At 49.1% G+C, this 25,544-nt stretch overlaps 1 protein-coding gene across 3 annotated transcripts in view, besides 1 other annotated feature; it reads right to left on the reverse strand.

The window, feature by feature from the left end:
* OVOL2 (ovo like zinc finger 2) overlaps nucleotides 6,596-25,544 on the reverse strand; it is a 35,037-nt gene continuing 16,088 nt past the window's right edge. For 2 of the 3 annotated variants that reach the window (NM_001303462.1, NM_001303461.1), the window contains 2 exons: nucleotides 23,978-24,167; nucleotides 6,596-7,396 (listed from right to left, as the gene is read on the reverse strand). In NM_001303462.1, coding sequence (NP_001290391.1) covers nucleotides 7,080-7,396; nucleotides 23,978-24,092 — 432 coding nt within the window. In that variant the 5' untranslated portion in view covers nucleotides 24,093-24,167 and the 3' untranslated portion in view covers nucleotides 6,596-7,079. The remainder of the gene's footprint in view (nucleotides 7,397-23,977; nucleotides 24,168-25,544) is intronic. The other variant, NM_021220.4, reaches the window with a different exon arrangement.
* Nucleotides 19,559-20,059: an enhancer, noted in NCBI's record as "H3K4me1 hESC enhancer chr20:18017759-18018259 (GRCh37/hg19 assembly coordinates)". NCBI's record gives its function as "activates a minimal SCP1, AML or CMV promoter by ChIP-STARR-seq in naive H9 embryonic stem cells {active_cell/tissue: H9 hESC(naive)}" and the evidence as "EXISTENCE:reporter gene assay evidence [ECO:0000049][PMID:30033119]".

Genomic DNA, 25,544 nt, shown 5'->3' on the forward strand with positions numbered 1-25,544 from the left:
TCTCTTGCCTCAGCCTCCCAAGTAGCTGGGATTACAGGTACACACCACCATGCCCGGCTAATTTTTTTGTATGAGAACACTTTTTTGTACTATTTTGGAAAGAACCACTAGATGTACTATTAAAAGAAAAATGCATATACACCTACTATGTACCCACAACACTTAAAATTTAAAATTAAAAAAAAGAAAAATGCAAAGTTCCAAACAGTATGTATAATATGCTATCTGCTAATTAAAATGCTAAAAGAAGAAGAAACAGTGGACAGCAAGAATACACACATTCATGTTTGCTTATATATGGGTAAAGAAACTCAGGAAAGTTACAGGAGGAGCTAATAACAGTGGTTAATTACAATGGTAGAGGAGAGGCTTGGCAGATAAGGGACTCGTTTGCAGATATGACTTTCCTTTGTGTACATTTCTATATATTATTTTACTTCTTCTGAAAATGCCACATAATTTGCAATAAATGATTCACTCCTTAGCTCCAAAAGCAAGTCCTTTATCAAAATGCAAATGTTCCAGAGGGATGTAGCCAGATTCTGTGGACCGCCGTCTTTTTCACCCTTAAGAATCCGTCGCTATGATTTCTCTTCCTCTGCTTGGAGACCTTTAGAGAGCCAGCCTGCAGCTGCTCAGAGCATTGACTACTAAACAGCTCACAGTTGCTATTGCTGAAAATGCCCGGTGGTTATGCCTTGCCTGACCAGGGGTAGCCCACAGCTGATGACAGGCCCCCTTGCCTCAAGGTGGGACAACTTCGGTGGTGCCATTCATATCCAGAGCTGCCTGGAATCAGGCCGAGGCTGGACATCAGCCGACCCCGCATCTTTGCTGAGTTTATTCCTCTGCTGTACTTCCCTCGCTTCCCTCACCTCCTTCTTGGTTTCTCCTGAGAGCCTCCCTCAATAAATCACTTACCCCAGAATCCTTGTCTCAGACTCCGCTTCTAGGACCCAACTTAAGACATTCACAAAATAAATCACATTGATGGAAAACAGATCCCATTCTCCAAAATGAATAACCAGTAGGCACTTGTGACTAGCACAAGCATCAGCATATCCACATGGTGCTAAACTAACACCAACCCAAAGCAGATAGTGCTGGGTGGACTCGGTACAAGTTAATAGCTCATGGGTCTCCATCCCCAACACCTTCAGACCCAAGGCTCCAGGGCTGCCAGCCTGAGAACCCTAAGTCATGATTTTGGGCACTTTGGCTGGATTTCCTAGCAACTGGCTGAGAGCAGGACAGGTAAACAGAGTTGGGAGGAGGAAGCAAAAAAGGCTAGAGTGGACATCAGTTGACTTTGCCTGCCATGGTAGAGACTTTCAGTCATCCACCATAATCCATCCCCATTCTGCTGCACAGAAGTATTGTGGCTGAGACACCTGCTTTTCTCCACCCCTCTAGTTAATGTGACTAAATTCTCCCTATGGAATGGGAATGGAAGGGCCATACCCAGGCCAGTGTCTTCAGGTAGGGGCTGTGACCCTTCCACACCTGTACCAGACACAATCATCATCTCACTGGGTTTTGCCAGCTTTCAGGTCTATGTGCTGAAAGCTGCTTACAGCTAACCTCTGCAGATTTTCCTGGCACAGGAGGCATGCTTGGCCAGTGCACAGGGCAAGTTGGAAGGGCCCTAATGTCAGCAGCCTTCAACCAATGATGGATGGAAAGTTGCAGACAGTGTCCTATGCATCTGCAGTGGGATAACTCTGAGACGTGTGCTGTACTGCCTCCTAGAGGGCCCAGGGTGATTAAGCACCAGTTACCCACAGCAGTAACTTCCTTGATTCTGTTCCCCACATGGGCACTTTTCTTCCTGTCACACCTCCCCAATCCCCTGCAGATACTTTCTGGGATTGCTTCCTAAACAATCCACTTGAACTTTTTTTTTTTTTCTTTTTTTTGACATGGAGTATTGCTCTTGTTGCCCAGGTTGGAGTGCAATGGCACGATCTTGGCTCACTGCAACTTCCGCTTCCTGGGTTCAAGCAATTCTCCTGCCTCAGCCTCCTGAGTAGCTGGGATTACAGGCGCCTGCCATCACGCCTGGCTAATTTTTGTATTTTCAGTAGAGACGGGGTTTCGCCATGTTGGCCACGCTGGTCTCAAACTCCTGACCTCGTGATCTGCCCGCCTCGGCCTCCCAAAGTGCTGGGATTACCGGCGTGAGCCACCGTGCCCAGCCCCACTTGAACTTTAATCCTTGCCTCGGAATTGGCTTCTGGGGAAACCAAAAATATATTAAAAAAAGAGAGACCAGGACCTTAAAAAGAGCCCAAGTTGTTGAGCTCCCTGCCAAGTCACCCCCAGGTATCTCTGCCCACCAGCTTGCATGAGCCAGATCCTCAGTGCAGGTTTTTCCAATCAGTCATTTGTTCTTCCACCCAACGCTCAAGATTTGCTTCTTCAAGACAACTCTCTGATCAGCTGAGACCCATAGACACCCAGCTTCTACCACACATATGATGGCATTATCCTAGGGCATGGCAGAGCAACGCAAGGGAAAACTCTGGGCCCCCAAGTGATGTCATGGAGGAGAACTCTCAACCCAGAACTACTACGTGAGAAACAACGCTCTCTCTTCTTTAAGCCATAGGTGTGTTGGGAATCTTTGTTACAGCAGCACGCCTGATCTTTTGTTTTGTTTTGTTTTGTTTTAGAGATGGAGTCTTGCTCTTTCGCCAGGCTGGAGTGCAGTGGTGCGATCTTGGCTCACCATGTTGGTCAGGCTGGTTTCAAATCCCTGACCTCAAGTGATCCTCCCACCTTGGCCTCCCAAAGTGCTGGGATTACAGGTGTGAGCCACCGCACCCGGCCCAGCCATGCCTTGTCTTAACTAGCATAGCCGCCCAACGTCCACTTCTTTTGGCCATGTTGTCCTGATTCTGCTGGAGAATCCCTTTCCCACTGCTCCCAGACCAGTGGTGTAGCTGACCTGCGCTCTCTCCACTCAATTCAGGGGAGGGAGGGGTTTAGGCCTGGGCTAAGAGAGCTGCACATTTCCCAGGGCACAGTGATTAGTTGAGGGTGGGTCCCAGAGCCAAATCTGCCCAAGATCTTAGCCTGAAAGAGAAACCCTCCTGCTGAGTGACTGCACTGTGAGGCAGAAGTCCAGAGCTGTGGGTGGCCATCCAGCCTCCATTTGCGCCTGCCTGAGAAAGAAGCCACCATGGGGGAAATCGAGCTAAAAGACGGAGAGGGAGGTAAGAGAGGATGACATCACATAAGCACCAGATCTGGCCACCCCTGAAACTGGAACAACCCTAAGCTTTACAGCTACTACATTCCCTTTTCTGCTGAAGTTGTTTTACACTGGGTTTCTGTCTCTTGCAACCAAGAGCTCTGTTAAATAAAAACCTGACCCTAAGGAGAACGTTAGCTGGTTCACAATTCCCTGTGCAAAACAGGCACAGGTCAGCTGCCCCAGCCTGTCGTTTGGATATTCCTTTCTAAGAACGCTCACTTTTGTTGTCTACATGACCCAGATAACCAAGGAGAAAGCAAATCAACCGCCTTCCAGCGGCGCCTTCCTTGGCAGCAAGTGCTAAGAGAGAACACAATGTGAGTACTCTGCCCTCTGGAGTCAGGGTTGATCCTCAGCACTTGCTGTCCTGGGAGGCTGCACCTGTGACACTTGAGTGCCAGGTTCAACCCCTACTGCTGCTGCTGCTGCCTGAATGGGGCCATTTAGACTGTTGAGTGCTACAGCCTCAGCCCAGGAACCCGGAGCTTCACATGAGGCAGAGCAGGGCCCCAGGGTCCCTGAAACTTGCCAGTTCAAACAGCAGAGGGGTGAGGACTCCCCAGTCAGCCCTGGTCTCATACCTGCCTCTGCATGGTCCCAGTCCAGCCTGAGGCCTTTGCTTTCTTTTTTGAAGGGAAGGTGAGGAGAGAGGGGGAAAATAGAGGTGTTCTGACTAGACTTAGGATTCCTGGCCTCTGCCTCTGACCGCCAGAGGACAGCCTCTGCAGTTGCCTCATCTACTCATGAAAACAGGCCTGTGACCCCAGGGGTGCTCTGAGGATTCTTCCAGAAAACATCTGCCCAGCTAGGACTACCTAGCTCACTGCCCAAAAAGGGTTCATTTCCTTTCCTTCTGAAACAAAAGCGCTTAATTGGAAGAGAAGCATTGACTCAAGCTATAGGATATGCCACTTAAAATGTCCAGATCTTGGCACAAGGCCTGGCGCACAGTGTGGGAGAGAAGGAGAGAAGAAGGTGGAAGGAAAGGAGGGAGGGGAAAGAGGAAGCAGGGAGGGAGAAAATAAGACAAGGGCCTCCTCATCTGGATGCTTCCCTAGACCAAGAAGTGGCCCAGGTGGTGCCCAGGGGACAGGGAGTGGGCAATAAAAGACAATGGGGTGTAGGTGATAGGGTGTAGATGATCAGGGTATAGGTGATCAGGATGTAGGTGATGGGGTGTAGATGACTGGGGTATAGATGATTGAAGTGTAGGTGATGGGGTATAGATGATCGAGGTGTAGGTGATGGGGTATAGATGATTGAGGTGTAGGTGATGGGGTGTAGGTGATGGGGGTCAAGGTGATCAAGGTGTAGGTGATGGGGTGTTGGTGATTGGGGTGTAGGTGATCAGGGTGTAAGTGATGGGGTATAGGTGGTGGGGTGTAGATGATCGGGGTGTAGGTGATGGGTATAGGTGATGGGGTATAGATGATCAGGTTGTAGGTGATCGGGGTATAGGTGATCAGGTTGTAGGTGATGGGGTGTAGATGATTGGGATATAGATGATCGAGATGTAGGTGATGGGGTATAGATGATCAAGGTGTAGGTGATGGGGTATAGATGATTGAGGTGTAGGTGATGGGGTATAGATGATCGAGGTGTAGGTGATGGGGTATAGATGATTGAGGTGTAGGTGATGGGGTGTAGGTGATGGGGGTCAAGGTGATCAAGGTGTTGGTGATGGGGTGTTGGTGATCGGGGTGTAAGTGATGAGGTATAGGTGGTGGGGTGTAGATGATTGGGGTGTAGGTGATGGGGTGTAGGTGACGGGTATAGGTGATGGGGTATAGATGATCAGGGTGTAGGTGATTGGGGTATAGGTGAGCAGGGTGTAAGTGAAGGGGTATAGGTGGTGGGGTATAGATGATCAGGTGTAGGTGACTGGGGTTTGGGTGATGGGGTGTAGGTGATGGGGTATAGATGATTGAGGTATCGGTGATGGGGGTCAAGGTGATCAAGGTGTAGGTGATGGGGTGTTGGTGATTGGGGTGTAGGTGATCAGGGTGTAAGTGATGAGGTATAGGTGATGCAGTGTAGGTGATCAGGGTATAGGTGATGAGGTGTAGGTGATGGAGTGTAGATGATTGAGGTGTAGGTGATGGGGTATAGGTGATTGGGGTGTAGGCAATGGGGTGTAGGTGATCGGGGTCAAGGTGATAGAGGTGTAGGTGATGGGGTGTTGGTGATTGGGGTGTAGGTGATCAGGGTGTAGGTGATGGGGTATAGGTGATTGGGGTGTAGGCAATGGGGTGTAGGTGATTGGGGTCAAGGAGATAGAGGTGTAGGTGATGGGGTGTTGGTGATTGGGGTGTAGGTGATCAGGGTGTAGGTGATTGGGGTGTAGGTGATCGGGGTGTAGGTGACCAGGGTATAGGTGATCAGGGTGTAGGTGATGGGATGTAGGTGATCAGGGTCAAGGTGATTGAGGTGTAGGTGATGGGATGTTGGCAACCAGGGTGTAGGTGATCAGGATGTAGGTGATGGGGTGTAGACGATCAGGGTGTAGGTGATGGGCTGTTGCTGACCAGGGTGTAGGTGATCAGGGTGTAGGTGATCCGAACTTCCTACTCAATTCAGGCAACAGCTCCCAGCCTGAGGCAAATACCCCCCGAGGCAGTCAGGGTCTCACCTCCCATGGCTCTGACGCAGGCCTCCAAGGTGAGGAGATGGAGGTAGCAGAGGTCACTTCACTCAGCTGTCACACACCCTGAGGGAACTCCTGTCACTGTTATCCCACCTGCAAGTGAGGAGCCAGCATTTCTCATGCTCCAGGGTTGGCCACAGAGCCCATTCAAGGGAGGGAGAAGAGCCTTCGGCCAGCGCATCCTAACCGCAGAAAGCCAAGACCTCTGCAGAAAAAGAGACCAGGCCCATAAAAAGAGATCCATGAGTTGAGTTCCCTGCCATGCCACCCCCAGGCATCTCTGCCCACCAGCCTGCATGAGCCAGCCCCTCAGTGCAGGTTTTTCCAATTGGCCGTTTGTTCTTCCACCCAACACTCAAGATTTGCTTCTCAGCCTGGACAACATAGCAAAACCCCATCTCTACAAAAAATACAAAAATTAGCTGGGCATAGTGGCACACACCTATAGTCCCAGCTACTCGGGAGGCTGAAGTGGGAAGATTACCTGAGCCTGGGAGGTCAAGGTTGCAGTGAGCCATGATCATGCCACTGTACTCCAGCCTGGGTGACAGAGTGAGAACTTGTCTCAAAAACAAAAAAAGAGAGGAAGATCTGCTTCTTCAAACCCACACAACTAATATAAAGTAATCAACCTCCCCACCTCAATAACCTGAAGTTAAACATCACACAATAAGCCCTGAACAGAGAGCTGTAGGTCAATGTTCCATTTTGCTTTTAAAAGCTTCACAAGAACATTTCATTTATTAAAATAGTTTCTGTAAACTCTTTCAGAATAACAAAATTCACTTGCCTTGCTTAAACAGCATTTCAAGTAGAAGTATTTTTATTTCAAGGCACCATAAAATGATGATCTCTCTAAGAAATACCTCTCCTTCCGTGTGTGAAAATCCTTGGGGGAAAAAAAAATCCCACACGGTGTTCTTGGCCATCAGGATCATGAAAACAAACTTTGGTGAATGTGAGCAACTGCGCCAGACAGGACACAGGTTACAGGGCCTGACGTCACTAACGGCAACTGACAATCTTGGAATGGACCCTACTGCTGATGTTTCAAAAGGACACAGAGGTGAACTGGTCACTTCTAATTAAGAAGAGCCAGTGGGGTGGGGGAAGCTGAAAACCAAAAATCCACGTAGACATACGTGGCAGTGTGAACGTCTGTCCTCCCCTTCCTTCTCCTCACTTCCTCTCCTCCTCCTCACTCAGGCTGGTATTCTCCTGGTGTGCGGATGTCAGCTTGCCCTGCAGAAGGGCTGCCAGTTTTTTAGATGTCTTTTTGAGAAACGAGCTGCCCGGATGGGCACTGTTCACGTGCAGGTACAGGTCCTCCTGGGTGGGGCCCGTGTAGCCGCAATCCTCGCAGACGTAGAGCTTGTCCCGCCGCTGCTTATAGGCATACTGCTGCTGCACCCCATGGATTTTCTTCAGGTGGGACTCCAGAGAGCAGCGCTGGGTGAAGGCTTTATTGCAGACGTTGCATTTGTAGGGACGAATGCCTGAAAGGATGAGGGACAGACACAGCATCGGTTGGTCATGGCCAAGCCAGAACCACCCAACTATGAAGCCAGTAAAAGTCATGCCATGACCAAGGATTCATGGCAGCATGAGGACAATGGTTACAGCAGGAGAGAAAACTGTCTACAAAAAATCATAGCATCCACCTGAGTAAACCTAACACAAACAGATGCCAACATAGAAAACAAACAAACAAACAAACAAACAAAACCACCACCTGCTTTAGGGAGGAAGATTTTTATTCTTCCAACTCACATACCTTAATGTTTTCATATTATTGTGAGCAAAGTAAACTTTTAAAAAAAATTAATTCGGGCCAGGTGCAGTGGCTCACGCCTGTAATCCCAGCACTTTGGGAGGCCGAGGCAGGCGGATGACTTGAGGTCAGGAGTTCGAGACCAGCCTGGCCAACATGGTGAAACCCCGTCTCTACTGAAAATACAAAAAACTAGCCAGGCATGGTGGCGCGCACCCATAGTCCCAGCAACTCGGGAGGCTGAGGAAGGAGAATCACTGGAACCCAGGAGGTGGAGGTTGTAGCGAGCTGAGATCGAGCCACTGCACTCCAGTCTGGGCAACAGAGTGAGACTCCATTAAAAAAAAATTAATTTGGGTATTCCCAGAAACAGAGCCTGGGACAAAGATTCCAGTACAAGTAGTTTATTTGAGAGGTGATCCTGGGAAGAACCTATAGGGCAACGAAGATGTGAGGCAGGGAGGGGTAGGATCCAGTAGAGGGGAAGCTACCCAGCCAGTTACACGGTGGACAACCAGGGTCCAGTCCTCTGTGCAACGCAGGGAGACAGTGTGGCACACACCTTGGCGTCATCCCACCCCTCCAGGAGCTGAGGTCAGTCACTGGCTGCCGGCTGCTCCTGGGTGGTTTTGATTCTCCATCCCCAGCACTTCTGCCTGCCTTGTGCAGACAGACTGGGCTCCAGCAGGGAACCCCTCAGGCAGAGGTGCAGGGGTGGACAGTTGCCACTTGGACAGGTGTGCCCAGAAATGGCAGATGCCCAGGCCATTGGCAGGACACTAAGGCATTTGTGGCAGTTATGAAAATCATTTCCAAACAAGATCTCATGCTGGCATTAGAACTGGGCTAACACTGGACCTGCCTTCTAGCTGAGATATCACAGGTACAATATAGAGCAGGGAGCTCAGCCTCATCAAAGCATTGCCGCTCCTACCTCCATGATTGGTACTCACCCTGATGTGTATGGCAGAATGTCAGATAAAGAATATAAACATGGACTCTGTGTGTGTGCAACAGACTATTTAGATGAGCTTGGACAGTACAGTATTTTACATACTTGCCAGAGCCTCAGAATCACCTGGAGAACTTTTGAAAATCTTAACTCACTTCTCCTAAGACCAACTCAGTGGGTCTGGGGTAGGAATCAGGAATCCATTTTTTTTTTTTTTTTTGAGACGGAGTCTGGCTCTGTCACCCAGGTTGGAGTGCAGTGGCGCAATCTCAGCTCACTGCAAGCTCCACCTCTCAGGTTCACGCCATTCTCCTGCCTCAGCCTCCCGAGTACCTGGAACTACAGGCACCCGCCACCACGCCCAGCTAATTTTTTGTATCTTTAGTAGAGACGGGGTTTCACCATGTTAGCCAGAATGGTCTCGATCTCCTGACCTTGTGATCTGCCCCCCTCGGCCTCCCAAGGTGCTGGGATTACAGGCGTGAGCCACCGCGCCGGGCCCAGGAATCTATTTTTAACAAACGTCGCTGGATATTCCAGTGTTCAACTTGGCTTTCAAGAGCCACAGGTTAGGGTCTTTAAGATTCTGGTTGTGGTCTTGCCTGAGGTCAGGTAAGGTAGTGGCAGGGCAGAGACCTCAGAGCACACCCAGCTCAGCACCCTACACTGGCGAAGGTCACCCCTTGAGCCAGTGGCTGAATAGGAGGCTCACACTCAAAAAGAAGGATGGGACTTAAAGGTGGAACAACAGACGCTGGGGACTACCAGAGGGCGGACAGAGGGAGGGGCCAAGGGCTGAGAAACTCCCCATTGGGTACTACGCGCACTACCTGGGTGACGGGATCATCTGGACCTCAAATCTCAGCATCATGCAATGTACCCATATAAACAAACCTGCACATGCACCCCCTGAATCTAAAATCAAAGTTGAATTTTTTTTTTTAAGGTTGAGACTGGTATGTGACAGAAGCAAGCACACTAAGCAGAATCTCACATGACAGATTCTAGGAAATTCCCGTAGGCCATATCAGCAAGTTTTATTGGGCTTTAAGAAACGAATTGGCTGGGTGCTTCACAGTGACTCACACCTGTGATCCCAGCACTTTGGGAGGCTGACGTGGGCGGATCACCTGAGGTCAGGAGTTTGAGACCAGCCTGGCCAACATGGCGAAACCCCGTCTCTACTAAAGATACAAAAATTAGCTGGGCATCATGGCACATGCCTGTAATCCCAGCTACTGGAGAGGCTGAGGCAGGAGAATTGCTTGAACCCAGGAGGCAGAAGTTGCAGTGAGTCGAGATTGTGCCACTGCACTCTAGCCTGCGCAACAGAGCGCGACTCCGTCTCCAAAAAAAAAAAAAATAAGTAAATAAATAAATAAATAAATGAAATTAAGAAATCACCATAGTAAGGTTTTTTTGTTTTTTGTTTTTGAGACTGAGACTCGCTCTGTCGCCCAGGCTGGAATGCAGTGGCACCATCTCGGCTCACTGCAAGCTCCGCCTCCTGGGTTCACATCATTCTCCGGCCTCAGCCTCCCGAGTAGCTGGGACTACAGGCGCTCACCACCACGCCCAGCTAATATTTTGTATTTTTAGTAGAGACGGGGTTTCACCGTGTTAGCCAGGATGGTCTCGATCTCCCGACCTCGTGATCCTCCCATCTCGGCCTCCCAAAGTACTGGGATTACAGGCGTGAGCCACTGCGCCCGGCTGTAAGGTCTAACTTAGGCTCTCAAAGAGAGGTTATGGCTGTGAAGGAGACACACGTCACAAAAGCATGGAAGTTGAGAGAGGGTGAATATGGTACTGGGGGTGCATGGAGCATGAAGAGGCCACTGCCACAGCCACGAGACCATCCTAGAGCCTAGAGACAGGAGGGATGCCACCTGGAGAAACCCGCAGACCCTGTACAGATTCCCGGGCCTGCCTCAGGGACCCCAGGCACTAGGTCAGGGGCTGGGACTAGGAAGCTGTAGTTTTATTTTTAATATTTTATTTTATTTTATTTTTTTGAGACTGAGTCTTGCTCTATCACTCAGGCTGAAGTGCAGTGGCATAATCTTGGCTCACTGCAACCTCCGCTTCCCTAGTTCAAGCAATTCTCCTGCCTCAGCCTCCCAAGTAGCTGCGACTACAGGTGCCCGCCACAACAGCCATCTAATTTTTTTATTTTTAGTAGAGAAGGGGTTTCACTGTGTTGGCCAGGCTGGTGTCAAACTCCCGATCTCAGGTGATCCACCTGCCTTGGCCTCTCAAAGTGCTGGGATTACAGGCATGAACCACCGTGCCTGGCCCTAATAGTTACCTTTTATTAAAATATAAAAAATAGGCTGGGTGCGGTGGCTCACGCTTGTAATCCTAGCATTTTGGGAGGCCGGGCTGGGTGGATCGCCTGAGGTCGGGAGTTCGAGACCTGCCTGGCCAATACAGTGAAACCCCGTCTCTAGTAAAAATACAAAAATTAGCCTGGTGTGGTGGCCCACATCTGTAATCTCAGCTACCTGGGAGAATGAGGCACGAAAATTGCTTGAACCCAGCAGGCAGAGGTTGCAGTGAGCTGAGATAGTGCCACCGCACTCCAGCCTGGGCAATAGAGCGAGACCCTGTCTCAAATAAATACATAAATAAATAAACAAAATAAATAACAAAAGGTTACTATTAATAGTTGTTTAAATTTAAAAGTAATATACCCCCCAGTTTTATGGTGAAAAACAGCAGTAAATTAAAAAAAATAAAACAGAAAAGATCCCTTTGTCACCCCATGCACCTCTCCTTCCCTAGTCCTAACTCGCAAGTTTCTTGTGATCCTTCACATTTTCTACAAATTATATATATGTACATTTTTATTTTATTTTATTTTTTGAGAAGGAGTCTCACTCTGTCTCCCAGGCTGCAGTGCAGTGGCACAATGTCGGCTCACTGCAACCTCTGCCTCCTGGGTTCAAGCGAGTATCCTGCCTCAGCCTCCCTAGTAGCTGGGACCACAGGTGCCTGCTACAATGTCCAGCTAACTTTTGTATTTTTTTAGTAGAGACCGGGTTTCACCATGTTGACCAGGCTGATCTTGAACTCCTGACCTCAGGAGATCCACCTGCCTCGGCCTCCCAAAGTGCTGGGATTACAGGCATGAGCCACCACGCCCGGCCTACATATGTATTTTAAGATTAATAAATATATGTCATCTCTGGGTGTTGCCTGAGCAGGAGAATTTGTTAAAGCTTCCCCAGGAGGCTCTAGTGTGCAGCCAAGTATGAAAACGAGAGTTCTAAATAAATGCACATTCACATTGGCATATGCACGGATGTACATGTTTCCGAAACATAAACCTGGGGTTCTGGAGAGACGGTCTGGAGGGTGGTGAAGGCTTACACTTGCCATTGCGTCCCTGTCTGTACTACTTCCCATCTCCAACCACCTGCCAGTATTAATAATAATAATTTTCGTACTAACTGTGGTTCCTTCTGGGCAGTGTAATGACAATGAATCTCCCACCTTTTCTCTTAAAACTATTCTAGGATGGGTGCATGGCTCACACCTGTAATCCCAGCACTTTGGGAGGCCAAGGCAGGAGGATCTCTTGAGTCCAGGAGTTCGAGACTAGCCTGGCGAACATGGGGAGATCCCTGTCTTTACAAAAAAGTAAAAAATTAGCTGGGCATGGTGGCATGCCCCTGTGGTCCCAGCTACTCAGGAGGCTAAGGTGGGAGAGATCACTGGAACCCAGGAATTCAAGGCTACAGTGAGCCATGATCGCACCACTGCACTCCAGCCTGGGCGAGAGTGAGACCCTGTCTCAGAAAAACAGAAAACAAACAAACCAACCCTCACCAATCAAGGTTAAGAAAGTTTTAAGGCAATATTTTAAAAATCAAAATATCGAATGAATGGATGAACTCTGTTGGTTCCAGGAAAGAAAGGCCACATCTTTGGGACTAGTTTTCCACATAGGCAAGGACTACAGACTCCTCTCCTAAGGAATGCGCCCGCTCTAGCTTTCATGTTTGCACTGTAATGCAGACTTTGTGTTTTCCCGGCCTTCTGGGCCCATGCAGCAGCGAGCAGCTGGCTCCCACTACCCAGTAGATCAAGCGGCAAACCCGATTTCCAACCTTCAGCTCATCAGAGCAGAAATCCACCCAGAGATTAGTTGCTCCTTTCACTAGTTAGTAGAAATAACCGACTACTGTTTTAAAACATCCAAACTAAAAATATGGGGAAGCTGGCACACTTAACATCAGGCTTTAACCTGGATGCAACAAACTCCTGGAGGTTCCCATCCTCAAAGGTGATCTGCCCCCGAGGAGAGGCCAGCCAGGCCACCACTCAGCCCCATGTGCACAGGGCCACATCTCCTTCCTCTCTTCAGTCAACACAGCCTCTGAGCATCTTCTATGAGCAGAGTACCCAGCAAGGCCTGGATAGCAAACGCTAGAAGATTCCAAAGCCCTGCATCATGCAAACAAGAGAGATGATGGCAGTGGGGGCTTTTTTTCCAGGGAGTGGGTAGAATTAGAGCCTGGCTTGGAAGAGGAGTGACTCGCAGACAGAGATGGAAAGGAGACATAGGCCCAGAAAGCTCCAGTTATGGCACTTCTGACTTTTGCCAAATGCACTGCTCTGTGCCCCAGCACTTCTGCTTCCCCATTTGCTAGTGTAAACGCCACCATTCACCCCTCATTCACTGGTGCGGGCACTGCCATGCGGCAGCCCCTTGGTGACCCTTTCTAGGCTTGGGAACAAGCACCTCCCTCCCAGAGCACCCCCATCACCCACACATTCAGGGGGACGTGGGTGGCCAGAGAGGAGCCCTGGGCAAGACGGACTGATGCCAAGGCCCCTCCCACCACTGAGGCTCACCCATCTTGGTGCTCTCACGCAAAGGCCAACCGTGCCTGTGTCTAAAGCAGGACATGGGAACTGAAGAGCACCACCCATGCGCTAGACGTCATTAACCTACTGACACCCACACGACTGTGAGTCCAAGGCCACCGAAGAGCCAGGCTGCGGATCTGCTGCTTATTAACTGAAACGGGGGCGGCTGCTCCAGCCCGAAAGGCCGTTTCCTCACCTGTCACAGGGGTGTCATAGCTCTTGCATGGCTGCTGTGAGGATTAGCCGAGATAGACTAAGTTCTCAATGGGATACAGCTCAACATAATGCAGATAAGCCTCATTCGTAAGCTGGCTGCTGACCAGCCTGGCCAATATGGTGAAACCCCACCTCTACTAAAAAATACAAAAAAAATTTAGCCGGGCATGGTGGCGAGTGCCTGTAATCCCAGCTACTCGGGAGGCCAGGGCAGGAGAATCGCTGGAATCTGGGAGGCAGAGGTTGCAGTGAGCTGAGATGGCGCCACTGCACTCCAACCTGGGTAACGGAGCGAGACTCTATCTCAGAAAAAAAACAAAACAAAAACATAAGCTGGCTGCTGGGTACATGAGTATTTCGCAGATTTGTCTTTAAACTGTACCTATATGTATACTTTTGTACGTGTTACTTATTTCACAACAAAAGGAAAGGATAATTTTTTAAAATGTGGCTGGTGGAGGAGAGGGGGGACTGCTTTCGCCGTCTGCCCTTTTGAATTTTGTACCATCAGCCTGTCCTACCTAGTCCGAAAAATATTGTTTATTGGGTTATCAAAAAGGGTTTGTTGTTTTCCATTTTTTTACCCCTAATAGCAAATCAAGCTTCGTGCCATACATCCTCAAGGAAAATTCTACACTTTGGAACTTTCTAGTTGCTTTCCTTGCTATAGCTCAACTGCTCCTTTACTGAACTTTATCCGAAGGTGAACTTCAGCGAGAAGATTTTTACAGGCATGCTTGTGGGAGTGGACATTTACGGCAGCCTCCCCGGAAGGCAATTTGGCAATGGCCATAAAAAAAAATCACACTGTATCTACCCTTTGGCCCAGCAATTTCACATCAGGGAAATTATCCTACAGGAAGACTCACACAGGGAGGCGAAGGATATACAAGATATACTCATGGTAGGATTGCCTGAAATGAAAGAAAGGAAAGAAGGAAGGAAAGAAGAAAGGAAGGAAGCGAGGAAGAAGGGAAGGAAAGAAGAGAGGGAAAGAAAGAGAAAGAAAGAAAGGAAAGGAAAGGAAGGAAGGAAGGAGAGAGAGAGAGAAAGAAAGAGAGAAAGAAAGAAAGGAAAGAAAAGAAAAGAAAAAAGAAGGAAGGGAAGGAGGAAGGAAGGAAGGAAGGGAGGAAGGAAGGAAGGAAATCTGCAAATGGAAACAAATGTCATCAATTGAGGAATAGGAAAAGTACAGTCCCTCGATACTGGAAATTTTGTCATGATTTCTTTTATTATTATTATTATTATTATTTTGAGATGGAGTCTCACTCTGTTGCCCAGGCTGGGGTGCAGTGGCACCATCTCAGCTCACTGCAGCCTCTGCCTCTCGAGTTCAAGCGATTCTCCTACCTCAGCCTCCTGAGTAGCTGGGATTACAGGCGCCAGCCACCATGCCCAGCTAATTTTTGTGTTTTTAGTAGAGACAGGGTTTCACCATGCTGGCCAGGCCGGTCTCAAACTCCTGACCTCAAGTGATCAGCCCGCCTCGGCCTCCCAAAGTGCGGGGATTACAGGTGTGAGCCACCGCACCTAGCTCCAAGATATATATTATGTGAAAAAGCAATATACATTAAAAACTTTTGGGAAAAAAATTAAATGGTGGAACTGGGGCTTGGCATGTGAAGGGAGTTTACATTTTTTTCTTTCCTTTTATCTCCTAATGAACATATTACCTTTTTAGCTAAAAAGTAAATTAAGATAAAATACAAATTAAAAATAAAACAATGAAGCGAGGGTTTGTTAACTGGACCAGGCAATTCCGCATGACAGCATTCAGGCCACTAGGGGTGGAGGTGACTTGACTCTTTCTTCTCCATCTGGCCCACTCCAAACATCTCCCAATCTGCATTTTTCCCAATCTAGTCAATCCTTCCCTTTGGGCTCCAAACAAAGACACCATTGTTTTCTCTTCTTTAATCAAGATGGGATTTGTGTGCCTTCTCCTCCCTCTGAATGTAGGCCCCGATGGAAGATAAGGACAGAAGGCGCCCTAGAGGGTGGGGCCGGTGCCCCCTCCCCACCTCCCTGACCTCAGAATTGGAATTCCTCGGCTTCACCCTGTGGAACTCAGCAGCTTCCCCAGGAATGGCATGAGCCCTGAACTGCCTCCTTTATTCCAGCCAGCGTTGTTAAGTTATAACCAGCATGGGTTTATGACCTCCCTGGGCCACGTGGCTCCCTGCAAAGCCTTAGCTGGGAGCCCCACGGATGTGTGTGCCCTTCTCACCTGTTTATGGCCCTTTACGCTGTCTTCTCTGCAGCTTTTTATATTGTCTGAAATCTTTTACAGAATACTTAGTCATTTTACAAATGAGCAAAATAAAACACTTTCCATAAACGCGGGACTTAAATGATGGGCCTGGCACATCGGGCACTTCCGAAGCAATAGTCTGCATTTCCTGCATGCTCGCTCCTGGGGACTCTGGCACTGCCGGTCCACTGACCACCCTTTGAGTAGGGAGGGTGTGGACACTCAGTGCAGAGTCTTGTGCTTGCAAGGGCTGGTTATTATTTTTTCCTCTAAAATAAAGATCTCCTCCCTCTCCTCCCAAACCAAATCGTTTACTTCAACAGAGAACCATTCTTAGGAAGCATCCTAGCCTGTTCAACCTAAAACACTTAAATAAATCCGAAAGAATGTCCTATAAATACTATATATATCCTATAAATATAAAGGCCCATGTTTTTCACAGGCTATGAACTGAATACACATTCATTTCCTGGAAGCTCATGTCCCCTCTCTCTATTTTGAGCTGGTCAGCAGGCAGAATTTCCCATGTTGTCCTCAGTGATCCTGTCAACTTCACTGAAGTACAGCAAGTCCCTCAATTATATAGTGGCTGCTGCTGGCTTCCCATCCAGACCGCTTTTCTGGGTCAGTGCATGTCCCCAGCTGTCGTGTGGCTTCTGGCTGTCCCCTTCTTTAAGGAATCAGCACTGGGCAAGTGACCTTCCAGATGCTCAGGAGTGTCTCCCTGACCTCGCCCAGGGCAGACACAGCCCTCAGCCAACGTCAGACTGAAATGGGGGTAAAAAAGTCCCTGCCCCCACCTTGCCTGTAGCAGATCCATCCTGGAGTCCATTCACACTCCTGATCCCCCCTGGGATGAGGTCGAGGCTGCACTCCAGCTAACAGCAAAACCCATGCTCATCCTCTGCCCTCACAGGCTCCACTTGACAGCCCTCCCTCAATAAACCATTTGATGGGAAGCCGCTTCCAAACCCCACCTAAGATAATTTGGATTGAAAATAGCCACTTGTTTTCACAAAATATTACAGAGTTTTTCTGCACAGGTCAGTTTCTCTCTTCCAGTCTTCAGTAGGACACCATTTAACTAACACTCCCTTCCCCTCTTTCTCTCTCTCTCTCTCTCTCTCTCTCACACACACACACACACACACCCCTCCGATTTACCTTTCTTGGGTGAACTCACAGCCAAAAAAGAAGTCCTAATCTTTTCTTTCGTCTACTTGGATATTAATGTAAGACATCTTCAGGTTCTAGTTTCCCTGGATCTTTTCCAAGATATTTCTTTGTGTTTTGAGTCTTTCCTTAGATATCCTGTTTGCTCAGTAGTTGCAGGGGATTGGAAGAGATGGGGGAGTCGGGGGTGGTGCAGATTAACCCTGATTCTCTAGCTCACTGTCTTTGCCCACCTCATCAATATTATAGCTACAATTCTCCAACAAAGGGTCCTCGGCCCTGGGTCCTGGGTCCTGGGTCCAGGCCATGGCCTGGTCTAATTGGACTGCAAACAAACATACCCCTCATTTAACTATCTGTCGTATTTATGTTAAGTGTCTATATCTTTGTTTCTGGCCTAAATACAACATTTACTTATAAGAACCAATAGCAAAAATACAACACTCACAGCTCAATCAAAGGCAAGACCAGGCCAGGCGGGTGCAGTGGCTCACGCCTGTAATCCTGGCACTTTGGAAGGGTAAGGCAGGCTGATCATCTGAGGTCAGGAAGTCGAGACCAGTCTGGCCAACATGGTGAAACCCCATCTCTACTAAAAATACAAAAATTAGCCAGGCGTGGTGGCATGTGCCTATAATCCCAGCTACAGCTACCTGGGAGGCTGAGGCAAGAGAATCGCTGGAACCCAGGAGGCAGAGGCTGCAGTGAGCCAAGACGGGAGCCACTGTACTCCAGCCTGGGCAACAGAGCAAGACTCCACCTAAAACAAAACAAATAAGCAAACAACAAAGGTAAGACCAAATTCCCACTGAATTCAAGTAAGGTCTTTTGGAGCTGGTGAAGTTTGTTCACATGAACTAAAACATCATCTGAGAAACCCACATTTTTGCACTTTGTACCAACTGTCTCTTTTGGACAGAGCTGAAGAGATGGCTCGGCAAGCCTGTTCCTCTGAGCTTGCCACCAGCTGATGTGTCAGGAAGCCCCCGGCTGCTCTTTCTGGTCTTTTATTACATGGAGACACACCTTCATCAGAAAATAGGTCGGGATGGGGTAAATAGGTCTAAAACATTTCCATAGTTCCATTTGTTCATCCCTTTAAGTGTCAAAATGATGATTAAAATTTTTAAAGGTTATCTTAGTGCCATCCAATAGAAATTAAAATGCAAGCTGCTTTATAAGTTAACGTTTTGTAGAAGCCTCAAACAGGTAGGAAGAAACAGGTGAAATGAATTTTAATGCTATATTTTGTTTAACTCATTATGCCCAAAATACTACCATTTCAATGTAAAATCCATATTAAAAATTGAGATTTTTGGCCGAGTGCAGTGCCTCATGTCTGTAATCCCAGCACTTTGGGAGGCTGAGGCGGGCAGATCACCTGAGGTCAGGAGTTCGAAACCAGCCTGACCAACATGGAGAAACTCCATCTCTACTAAAAATACAAAATTAGCCAGGCATGGTGGTGCATCCCTGTAATCCCAGCTACTCAGGAGGCTGAGGCAGGAGAATCACTTGAACCCGGGAGGCAGAGGTTGCAGTGAGCCAAGATCAAGCCATTGCACTTCAGCCTCGGCGACAAGAGCAAAACTCCATCTCAAAAAAGAAAAAAACAAAAAAATTGAGATTTTTACACCTTCTTTTTTTGCATTACAACTTGAAACTTAGTGTCTCTTTTGCCTATACAACACATCTCAATCTGGACCAGCCCCTCCTCTGAGACTCAGGAGCCACACACAGCCAGTGGCCGCCGGACCAGCCAGCACACCTCTAGGTTTTTCACTCCTAGCTGCCTCCTAAGCCCTAGCCTTTCCCCTAAGGTGATAACTGCGAAACCCTTTGGGAAAACGTCAGGTGGAAGGTATTTTCATTCACTAACTTAAATGATTTTCAGCTCCCTCACAGGAGTCACTAGAAGAGTAGGAGATGGAGAAAATCTGAGAACCTCAGGTTGGGAGTCTGAAGGGGTACAGGCACCCCCTTTCTTGCTTCCTCTGTGGGCAGAGGACATCTTGGCACCACTGAACTCACACGCTCACAGGCTCCTCTACAACCTACTAAACCCCAAGCTGAAGTGTGCACTTTGTGCTACTAATAGGTCTGAGTTTCCCTTTATCTCACCTTCCTCTAGAAGCAAGCAGGCTTCTAGAAACTGCAACAGGCCGGGCGCGGTGGCTCACGCCTGTAATCCCAGCACTTTGGGAGGCCGAGGCGGGCGGATCACGAGGTCAGGAGATCGAGACCATCCTGGCTAACAAGGTGAAACCCCGTCTCTACTGAAAATACAGAAAATTAGCCAGGCTTGGTAGCGGGCGCCTGTAGTCCCAGCTACTCGGGAGGCTGAGGCAGGAGACTGGCGTGAACCTGGGAGGCGGAGCTTGCAGTGAGCCGAGATCGCGCCACCGCACTCCAGCCTGGGCGACAGAGCGAGACTCCGTCTCAAAAAAAAAAAAAAAAAAGAAAGAAACTGCAACAGGGCAGGCTGGTGAGGCCCCTGCCTCAGGGGGAATGCTGAGGAAGGCACTGGGAGGCAAAGAGGGCAGAGAAGGAGACCCTACAGAGGATAAAAGACCATGAACTTCAGGGCCAGCCAGTTCTGGTTCCCAGCTCCACCACTGATGGGTTGTGTGAGCTCCCTGAGCCTGGTTTCCTCCTCTGCAAAAGGTGGAGAACAACAGCACTGACTGCTTTGGGTAATTTGAGATGACAGGATAAAGGCCGGAGGCCTGGCATGAAGGAGAGTGACCGTGTGTGGCTTGCTTCTGCCTGCAGGGCTGTGTTACTCTCTGAAGGGTCCCCTAGTCTCTGCCGAGCCACCCTCCTCACTTGCTAAATCTTCTGCCTCCCAGGGCGGATGCCCCACTCATATCCCCTTAGCAGATCGCCAGGCATCTCAGATGGTTCCTGCATCTCTCTGCCTAAGGATGCTCTCCAGGCCTGCAAAGGGCTGGGGTGGGCAGAGGGTAGGGAGAACTGCCCAGGAGTCAGGAGGTCCAGGATGGACACCCAAGGAGGGATGGGGGTTGATTGAGCAACCTGGGGTGCATTCTATATGGTTCTTCAGAGGATCTCCAGTGGGATTGAGCCTCCGCTGCCCGTAGTGATAACCCACTCATTATTATTGAGCTTTTATTGGCTGTCTTCCCTCCTGACCTCCCCTCCCTCCTCTACTGTGTTTTCTGGGATCACCTCCCAAATACATTGCTCACATCCAAATCCTTGTGTCGCGTCTGCTTCTTGGGCAACCCAAACTAAGACACTCCTCATTAGCAACGCTCTTCCTCCTTCTGTCCTGCTGTAGAAAGCTTGCTCATCCTTCAACGCCCAGCTGAAAGACTACCTTTTCTAAGAAGCCCCCCTGACATGCAGTTAGAAACAAGGCACCTCCCAGGACTCCCCTTTGGCATGTGCCACTTTTTCTTCTGTCTGGCATATCGGCTGTTTCACTTGTCTCACAGTCAGATGTCTGAGTTATTCCTCCCTATGTTGGCTGAGAGCTCCATGAGCACAGAGGTGAATCCTAGGGCCTGTTACACATCAGGTCCTCAGGAAGCCTCTGCCAACTGTTGCAATTTTACTACTAATAATAGCTAATATTTACTACGCACTTACAATATAAGAAGCACTTTTATGTAATTCTGGCCCCAAAACCTCACAACCATCACTTTAAGTGGCAAGTATTAAAATGATCACACCCATTCTAGAGATGGAAAAATTAAGGTGAAAGACGAATAATTTAGAACAAGTCTCACAGTCAGCTAACTCAGATCAGGAGTTCTTAACTACTATGTGACCGCCTCAACTTGTAAACTCTTCTCTGAGAAGCTGTCAGTCCCTAATATTTCCCTTAGTCTCCAGCAATGGAGAATTAACTCAATCACAGGGGAGGCAAGGCCATCAGCTCAGTGTTTACTCCAGCTGAAGGTACCAACAGCTAGCCATGCTTCCTGGGCCCCCTGCGTTGTGTCCTAGAAGCCAGGGTGGGGGAGTGACCACAGAGTCCATCCAGGCAGGGAATGCCCTCAAGGACATCCTCAGAGATGATGTCCTTGAGACACCCTCAAGGAGGGGCTGAGACACCCTCCAGGGCCACCAATGGCCAGCGACTTCAGGAGTGGTCCTGATTTCCTGCCCCTGGGGTCAGGAGGAAAGCCCAGCTTTGCTGCTGCTGGATGGGTCCCTTGACAACCTCGAGACCTCCCCTAGGCCTCTTATAAGACCCCCTACTGCCCTATGGATCCTCCACCTCTCCCTAAGCATTCTCCTCACCCCCACCCAATGGCCAGCTTAGACTCACAGAGGTCAAACTTTTATTGATTCACTGGTGCTAGGAAAAGCAGCCATATAACCAGACCCAAAGAGCACACTATGGGATTCCATTTACATCAAGCTCAAAAACAGGCAACAGTAACTTAAGCTGTTAGAATTTGCAACAGTGGTTTTCCTTGGAGAGAAAAAGGCAGACTGAGAGGGGTAGTGACTTCTAGTGGCTGGAAATATTCTGTTTCTTGGTCTGACTGCTAGTCGCATGAGTGTGTTCACTTTGTAAAACTTCCTAAATTTGCTGAGGTCGGCACTTAGGATCTGTGCACTTTTCTAGATGTATGTTACACTAAAATGAAAAGTCTCTTTAGAAAAAGTTTTTGGCCGGGTGTGGTGGCTTATGCCTGTAATTCCAGCATTTTGGGAGGCCAAGGCGGGTGGATGGCTTGAGCCCAGGAGTTTGAGACCAGCCTGGGCAACATGACGAAATCTCATCTCTACAAAAAATACAAAATACAAAAAAAATTAGCTGGGAGTGGTGGCATGCACCTATAGTCCCAGCTACTAGGGGTGCTGAAGTGGGAGTATCAGTTGAGCCCAGGAGTTGGTGGCTGCACTCCAGCCTGGGTGAGAGAGCAAGACGCTGTCTCAAAAAAAAAAAAAAAGAAAGAAAGAAAGAAAGAAAAGAAAAAGTTTTAAAAGAGGAAAACAGAAAAGAACTATGTTAGGATTCCAGCCACTCTCTAAGGTGACAGAAACTCTTTCCAGACCAGGGAGGCAGCTCACGGCCAGTCCTCTAAGAGCAAACACGCATGATATGAACTAGAAAATAGGATGCAGAGGCCTAAGAAGGAACCTGTATGAGGGCTGAGTAGCTGGGAGCCCCATCTGGAGGGAGGAAAAAGTGTCTTCCCTTCCCTACCAAAATACCAAGGACGGAAAGGGCTCGGGGACTATAGATAGCAAACCCTTTTTTTTTCCCCTTGAGACCGGGTCTTGCTCTCTTGTCCAGGCTGGAGTGCAGTGGCACAATCATAGCTCACTGCAGCCTCAAACTCCTACGTTCAAGCGATCCTCCAGCCTCAGTCTCCCAAGTAGCTAGGACTATAGGCACGCACCACCACGCCTGGCTAATTTTTAAATTTTCTTGGGGAGACAGTCTTTCGATGTTGCCCAGGCTGGTCTCCAACTCTTGGCCTCAAGCAATCCTCCCACCTTGGCCTCCTTAAGTGCAAGGATTACGAGCAGGAGCCACTGCACCCAGCCTGCAGATAGTAAATTCTATAAGTCTGTTGGGAGGGTGGGTGGTAACCTGGATAGGGTTGAATGGGTTAAGATGGGATGGGATAGGATGAGCTGAAATGGGTTGGAGTGAGATGGGCTGATCTGAGGTGGGCTGTGATAGGATGTGATGGGATAGGACGTGATGGGCTGGGATGGGCTGAGATAGGATGGGGATTTGAAGATGGGACCCACATTGTAAAGGCCTTTACACGAAGCCCATCAAGATGAGAGATGAGGAGTCTGGATTTCATTCTGTTCAGAGTTGGAGATTTCTTAGCAGGGAAGTAGAGTCCTTAGAATTCTCCTGGAGGGATCACTCTGGCAGAGGTGTGGACAATGGAGCTCAGGCGGGAAAGCATGGAGGCCAGGTGTTTCTCAGATAGAAGCAGTGAGGCCGAGACAAGAGGCCAAGGGCACCCCCAGGACTCTGTGAAGAACTGGAACTGGGGAGAACCTGGATTCCCACTTCCTAAGTCAGAAAACTGAGGCAGGTCCCAGAAGAGGAAGATGCTTGCCTGCCAGGCTCCAGTACGAGGCTCGGGTCAGCTCTAAAGGCAATGAGCTCCTTTTTGTGTCTCAGGAGGAACACGATGCTATCCAGAGACAGGCTTATGTCCCAAGAGAGAAGTATAAAATACTCATTGTGGGGCCACAAGAACCACATTCCAGCAGCCAGAACCAAGGGGCTGAGCTGTGGCAGGCCCCGCGTGTGTGCCATGCATCATGATTCTCAGAATACTTCCAGCCAGGGATCCGTTTTGAGCCTCGCTAGAACTCACATCGATATCTCCATTTTACAGGGGTGAAAGGCAGGCTACCAAAGGTGGCTCACCTGGCCCAAGGTGACACAGCTGGCAGGTGGCAGAGTCAGGAGGTGAACCCAGAAGGGCTGGCCCTAACGCCCCATCATCTTGTGATCTTTCTTTTTTTTTCTTTTTTTGAGATGGAGTCTTGCAATGTCACCCAGGCTGGAGTGCAGTGGCATGATCTTGGCTCACTGCAACCTCCGCCTCCCAGGTTCAAGCGATTCTCCTGCCTCAGCCTCCCAAGTAGCTGGGATTACAGGCGCCACCACCACGCCCAGCTAATTTTTTTGTATTTTTAGTAGAGACAGGGTTTCACTATGTTGGCCAGGCTGGTCTCAAACTCCTAACCTCGTGATCCGCATCTTGTGATCTTTCTAGAAACACAACATTGTTCCACGGTCTCAACCTGGTTTTTTGGTGGGAAAGAAACAGGAGCTCTTGGCCAGAATAACAAAACAGAGAACAAAGCACGCACTCCCCGCTCACCTGTGTGTGTGCGGACGTGCCTCTTCAGGTCGAAGGTGTCGTTGAAGCCCTTGCCGCAGAAGGTGCACAGGTGTCTTTTCACCTGGTTGTGGCACTTGAGGTGACGGTTCAGCATGCGCTGCAGACGGAAGCCCTTGCCACACAGGTCACAGCTGTGAACCACCGAGTCGCTGCACGTGCCTGTGGTGAACTGGGGGCAGAGAGAGGCCATGAGGGTCCCCGGGCAGGCAGGCACATCCAGTAGGCTCACTCAAGAGACCCACCTCCCTGTGTCTTGAGGCTGCCCTGTCTGCGGCTTCTGCCCCTAAAATTTTCAAGCAGGTTTTGGCTTTGGGAAAGGTGAAGTAACAACTGGCAGTTCCTCCCACCCTTTTTTTTTTTTTTTTTTCTTTTTGAGATGGAGTCTTACTTTTTTTGCCCAGGCTGGAGTGCAGTGGCTCGATCTCAGCTCACCGTAACCTCCACCTCTTGGGTTCAGGTAATTCTCCTGCCTCAGCTTCCCAAGTAGCTGGGACTACAGGGGCACATACAACCACGCCTGGCTAATTTTTGTATTTTCAGTAGAGACAGGGTTTCACCATGTTGGCCAGGCTGGTCTCAAACTCCTGACCTCAAGTGATCCATCCGCCTCAGCCTCCCAAAGTGCTGGGATTACAGGCATGAGCCACCGCACCCAGCCAGTTGCTCCCACTTTTTATTCTCCCCTTCTTCCTTAGAACAAACCTCTGACTTCTAGCTGGGCATACTGTCTTACAGCATCCTACAGGCATGTGATGGGGTATGAATGTTAGGCCCCTCCAAATGTCTTGTTGAAATGTGATCCCCAGTGTTGGAGGTGGGGCCTCGTGGGAGGTTACAGGGGCAGATCCCTCATGAATGGCCTGGTGCCGTCCCCGTAGTAAAGAGCGAGTTCTTACTCTCATCAGTTCATGGGAGAGCTGGCTGTTTAAAAGAGCCTGGTGGCCAGGCGCGGCGTCTCATGCCTGTAATCCCAGCACTTTGGGAGGCTGAGGTGGGTGGATCACCTGAGGTCGGGAATTTGAGATCAGCCTGACCAACGTGGAGAAATCCCATCTCTACTAAAAATACAAAATTAGCCAGGCGTGGTGGTGCATGCCTGTAATCCCAGCTACTCGGGAAGCAGAGGCAGGAGAATCACTTGAACCCAGGAGGCAAAGGTTGCGGTGAGCCAAGATCGGGCTATTGCATCCAGCCTGGGCAACAAGAGCAAAACTCCGTCTCAAAAAAAAAAAAAAAAAAAGAGCCCGGCACTTCCTCCCCTCTCTCTTGCTTCCTCCCTCACCATATGACACGCTTGTTCCCCTTCCGCCTTCTATGAGTGGAAGCTTCCTGAGGGCCTCACCAGAAGAAGACACCAGCCCTATGCTTCTTGTATAGCCTGCAGAACCATGAGCCATAAACCTCTTCTCTATAAATTAGCCAGTCTCAGGTATTCTTTATGGCAACGCAAAATGGACTAAGACAGCATGGCCATGGACTACCTGGCCAATGAAATAGAAATCTCCTTGAAGGGGAGCAAACGGTGCCTTCTTCCTCCTCCACTCCT

This window comes from Homo sapiens, chromosome 20 (genome assembly GCF_000001405.40).
Source record: "Homo sapiens chromosome 20, GRCh38.p14 Primary Assembly".
NCBI lineage: Eukaryota > Metazoa > Chordata > Mammalia > Primates > Hominidae > Homo > Homo sapiens.